Genomic DNA, 5,434 nt, shown 5'->3' with positions numbered 1-5,434 from the left:
CAAGTGATTATCCTGCCTCAGGCTCCTGAGTAGCTGGGACTACAGGCGCATGCCACCACGCTTGGCTAATTTTTGTATTTTTAGTAGAAACGGGGTTTTGCCATGTTGGTCTCAAACTCTTGACCTTAGGTGATCTGCCTGCCTTGGCCTCCCAAAGTGCTGGGATTACAGGTGTGAGCCACCGTGCCTGGCCCCCATAGTAAAGATTAATGGTTAAACTCCATTAAAAGGTTAAACTCTAGTAACTCAAAACAGGCAGGATGATCAAGTACTCAGACCCTTCCAGAATGAAAGTTTGGGTGACTCCTTCAGGTAGAAAAGAGCATCTGAGGTTCTGAATGAAGGCAGGGGAAATGCAGAATGGATAATAACAGAAGAAGGAAGCCATAGATGTCAATTACAGCCTTGAGATCAATTACAGAAATGAGTACTATATTACCTTTCCTCATTTGCCTTCTGCTTGTTATATGTATGTGTTTATTTGCATAATCTAGCCATGTTCTTTTTCTCTTTTTCCCATTTTTATTTTATATACAAGAAGTTGGAAGGTAATTTTACAATTTACTCTTTAGGTACTAGGATATCAGCAGGACCATGGCTAAATTTGAGGAGTAATTAATACAGAAAGTGATGTGTCTTCTCATTTGGGTGAAAGGGTAACAACTTCCTCCCTTGTAAGAAGGATAGCTATATCTTGTTGGGTAGGAGTAAAGTTGTGTTATTCTCTTTTTTTTGAGACAGAGTATTGCACTGTCACCCAAGCTGGAGTGCAATGGCGGGATCATAGCTCACTATAACCTCAAACTCCTGGCCTCGAATGATCCTCCCACCTCGCCCAAGCTGTTTTGTTGTACAAGAATTCAAATATGTGCACATGAAAGCCAAGAAGTCAAAGGGGTGGACTGTACCACTTACCAATTTTTACCTCTCAGCTTCAAATTCACTCTTCTGCCTGCTCTGTGAAAACAGATCTGGTCCCTTTACTTGTTTCCTTTGCCACCTGGCACTGAAGCTTTGCCAGTAGAGGGCACTGGAGAGACATTTCAAGAAGGAAAAAGGTTTTGCTTCCCGGTGCTGGAGTGCCCACTTTGCAGGTTACTGCAGTGTCTGCAGCTTTCTATAGCAACAGAGTCCTACAACTTCTCCAGTGCCTGGCTCCCACAGTGTGTGGTGACCAGCAGCACCCAGTAGCCAGCAGCCTCCCTCTGGAATTCCCCATCAGATGGGTTAGTAGCAGTTTGCCTCTGGCTCCTGAAGGACTCACAGCTTCTCCATTTTCCAGCTTTTGTAGTGCAGGGCAGCCAACAGCACCCAGTAGCCAGCAACATCCCCTGGCACTCTCCCTCAGGTAGTTTTGTGGCAGAGTGCCTCCAGTGAGACACCTCCCCATGAACAGCTTTCACTGGCACTCTAGATGGTGGATTTCTGGCAAGTTCCAGCAAGCAGATTTCCAGCAAATTCTGCCATTCAAAGAGTCACAGCCGTATTCTCTCCAAGGACTGATCTCAACCCTGAACTAAGGTGGGTGCAGGGACAACAGGGAAGGGTCTTCCTTTGGTGCTCGATTTCAGTCATACTCATGCTTTCCTATGCCTTTTTTTTTTTTAAGAGAGAGAGACAGGGTCTCACTCTGTCACCCAGGCTGGAGTACAGCAGAGCTGTGATCACAGCTCACTGCAGCCTCAAACTCCTGGGCTCACATGATCCCCCTGCCTCAGCCTCCCGAGTAGCTAGGACTACAGGCACATGCCACCATTCCCCGCTCCTATACCTTCTTGAATGTATGGAATATATTTATAACAGCTGTTTTCACGTCCTTTTTCTACTCATTCTATCATCTGGATCATTTCTGGGTCATGTTCTGTGGATTATTTTTCCCCTCATTATGGGTTGTATTTTCCTGTTTCTTTGCATGCTTGATAATTTTTTATTGGGCGTCAGATGTAAATATTGAAACGGGAAAAGTTCCCTATCCCCTTAGCAGGGTGTGAGAGCGGGGTGTGGCTCGCTTCTTTGGTGCACCACTGCTCAAACCTCTAGGGGGAGCATGCAGATGGGCAGGTTGTGGGGCTCCAGCCCCACGGCAGTGTCTAGGAGTGAATGTTTACAGCTGAAGCCCCAGTGGGCATGTGTTACAGAATGCTCTTTTAGTTTTGCTGTCTGTAGGCAGTTTGTGTTAATCAGCTCAATTAGACCCTTTGCCTTATCCCAAGGACAGAGGGCTTTCTGTATCCCAGGGTTCTTGCCTTGGTGTACTGGAAGAACCGGATCACATGTGGGCTTGGAGAAAGAGTGCAAGGTTTTTTATTGAGTGGTGGTAGCTCTCAGCAAGGTGGATAGGGAGGCCAGAAGGGGGATACAGTGGGAAGGTGGTTTTCTCCTGGAGTTGGGCCGCCCAGCAGCCAGACTCTCCTCCAACCCCCAGCCAAACTCCGTGTCATTCCACCAGTTGATGGCCTGCCGGCATCTGCCGGTGCCTGTTGGTGTGCTCTTCTGCAGGTGTGCTCTTCTTGATGTCCAGCTGTTTGTGTCTGTGCCCCCTAGGGTCTCGGGGTTTTTATAGGCGCAGGATGGGGGCGTGACAGGCCAGGGTGGTCTTGGGAAATGCAACATTTGGGCATAAAAACAGAAATGCCTGTTCTTACCTAGGTCCGTGGGCACAACCCCAGGGTGGGACCCCTAGCCAGGGACCCACCCTTCTCTACCCAGCACTTCCCTACCCCACTCCCATATCAATATTACCTTATTGGGTGCTGACTTTTTTGTACTTAAAAATTTTTTTGTTTTGTTTTTGGCCGGGCATGGTGGTTCATGCCTGTAATCCCTGCACTTTGGGAGGCTACTAAGGGGGCTGAGGCAGGAGAATAGCTTGAACCTGGGAGGTGGAGGTTGCAGTGAGCTGAGATCATGCCACTCCAGCCTGGGCGACAGAGTGAGACCCTATCTTAAAAAAAAAAAATTTGTTTTGGTCTAAGACACAATTAATCAATTTGATCTTTTTGAGGCTTGTTTTTAAGGTTTTTTGTTGTTTGTTTGTTTTTTTCTTTGAGACAGGGTCTCACTCTGTCACCCAGGCTGGAGTGCAGCAGTGTGATCATGGCTCACTGCAGCCTTAACCTCCTGGGCTCAAGCGATCCTCCCATCTCAGCCCCCTGTGAGCTTAGTAGCTGGGACTACAGGCATGTTCTACCACACCTGGCTAATTTTTGTAATTTTGTACAGACAGGGTTTCACTATGTTGCCCAGGCTGGTCTCAAACTCCTGGGCTCAAGTGATCCACCTGACTTGGCCTCCCAAAGTGCTGGGATTATAGGCATGAGCCACTGCACTTGGTCTGCCTTTAAGGTTTTTTTTAGGCAGGACCTGCATAGCCTTTAGTCTAAAGCTAGTTTGGTACTGAGGCAATACCATCCTGAGCTTTCTACTCAATGTCTTATGTGTTAGGAGGTTTCTCCACTCAGGCTAGTGTGGAGATAAAGTATTCCTGGCTCTGAGGATTATTATTCCTCCTGATCCTTTGCATTGGCCTTTCCCTACGAGGCAGGAGAATAGGGTCTGGAAGCAGGGAACCTAAGGCCGATTCACACTGACTTCCTAGAACTAATTCAAAAGGAAAACCCCAACTTCCCAGGCCCAAGTAACAAAAAGATCAGAGGCTACTCCCTTTGCAACCCACCCCCTTCTTCTGCATCACAGATGAGAAAGGAAAGTACCTTTGATTGGTCTCCTCCCACAACCAATCAGACTGGTTGTGGGCCTAGTCTTCATTTGCATAGGGGTGTAACTTTGTAACTTCACTTCAGCCTCTGATTGGGCCCCTCCTATAATCAACCAGACGTTTGCATAGGGTGTAACTTTGTAATTCACTTCAGCTTCTGATTGGTCACCTTCCACGACCAATCAGACTGATCGTGGGCCACTACTCTATTTACATAGTGTAAACCAAGTAACCAATGGGAAACCTCTAGAGGGTATTTAAATCCCCAAAAATTCCGTAACCAGTGCTCTTGAGCCGCCTGCTCCAGCTTGCTCCCACTCTGGAGTGTACTTTCGTTTCAATAAATCTTTCCTTTTGTTGCTTCATTCTTTTTTTTCTTTTCTTTTTTTTCCTGAGACAGAGTCTCGCTCTGTCACCCAGGCTGGAATGCAGTGGTGCAATCTCGGCTCACTGCAACCTCCGCTTCCCAGGTTCAAGCAATTCTCCTGCCTCAGCCTCCCGAGTAGCTGGGATTACAGGCGCCCACCACCATGGGCGGCTAATTTTTCTATTTTTAGTAGTGATGGGGTTTCACCATGTTGGCCAAGCTGGTCTTGAACTCCTGACCTTGTGATCCACCCGCCTTGACCTCCCAAAGTGTTGAGATTACAGGTGTGAGCCACCACACCCAGCCTGCTTCATTCTTTTGTGGCTTCATTCTTTCGTTGCTTTGTGCGTTTTGTCCAATTCTTTGTGCAAAACGCCAAGAACCTGGATGACTCCACTTTGTTCGAAATGCCCAATTCTTTCTTCAAAATGCCAACACCCTCCACTGGTAACACCTGGACTTCAGATAGTTTCCTCATATATGTGTGCTGATCAGAATTCAGCTGAAGGCTTGAAAGGAACCCCCTATAGATCTCCAGAGCTTTCTCTCTGTGTGCAGCGCTCTCCTCTATGGTACTCTGGGCTGCCCTGTGTATTCTGGCTGCTGTCACTGCCAGAAACTCATTTAACTATGTCATCTAAACTCAGAGAGGCCACAAGGCTCTTTTTTAGTCCTCCTCACCGCCCCGCCCCCGCAACCAACATACGCCTGGAAACTCTCTCCAGGCCATCATATGGTTCACTCAGTTGTTTCTCTTCTCTCATGGGATCATGGTCCCATGCTTCCTGTTGTCTAATGTCTGGAAACCTTTGTTTCACATATTTTACCTGGTTTCTTAGTTGTTTAAGGCAGGGGAGTAAATCCAGTCCCTGTTACTCCATCATGGTTGGAAATGTAAGTCTTCAAATGCCCTTTTCTGACCCATATCCTGAGACTTTGCCTTCTGGAACTCACACTCAGTCATCAGCAGAATCCATTAGTCTAGAGCTGAAGGATACTTCTCTGAAGGTTGAGCTCACCTTCTTGCTCCAATGGGAACATGAGTGGGTCTTCCTTGACAATACTGCATCACTCTTAAGCAGTGGCCAGTTTTCTCTTCCACAGCTCTCATCACAGTGATTCCAGAGGCATAAGTGTCCTCCATGCACTTCATGCACTCCTCCCAGACCATGGTCCCTCTCTCCTCAGGAACCCCCCACCCCCAGCTCCTCTGAGGCACAAGCATTAGACTCCACAGCCTTCTACTCATCTTCATCACAGTCATCTACCAAGCCCCTCATCACTCCCCTTTGGTTTATCCCTAGCTCACTGTCACCCTCTCCAATACCTCTCTTGTCCAGAACTCTTGG

General features: G+C 47.6%; 1 annotated feature.

The window, feature by feature from the left end:
- Window positions 3,647-3,941: an enhancer, noted in NCBI's record as "tiled region #13191; K562 Activating DNase matched - State 9:DNaseU". NCBI's record gives its function as "activates a minimal TATA promoter and a strong SV40 promoter by Sharpr-MPRA in K562 cells {active_cell/tissue: K562}" and the evidence as "EXISTENCE:reporter gene assay evidence [ECO:0000049][PMID:27701403]".

The sequence above is a fragment of the Homo sapiens genome, chromosome X (assembly GCF_000001405.40).
Source record: "Homo sapiens chromosome X, GRCh38.p14 Primary Assembly".
NCBI classification, from domain to species: Eukaryota; Metazoa; Chordata; class Mammalia; order Primates; family Hominidae; genus Homo; species Homo sapiens.
Note: the sequence above shows the minus strand (reverse complement) of the source record. Positions and strands in the feature narration are given on the sequence as shown.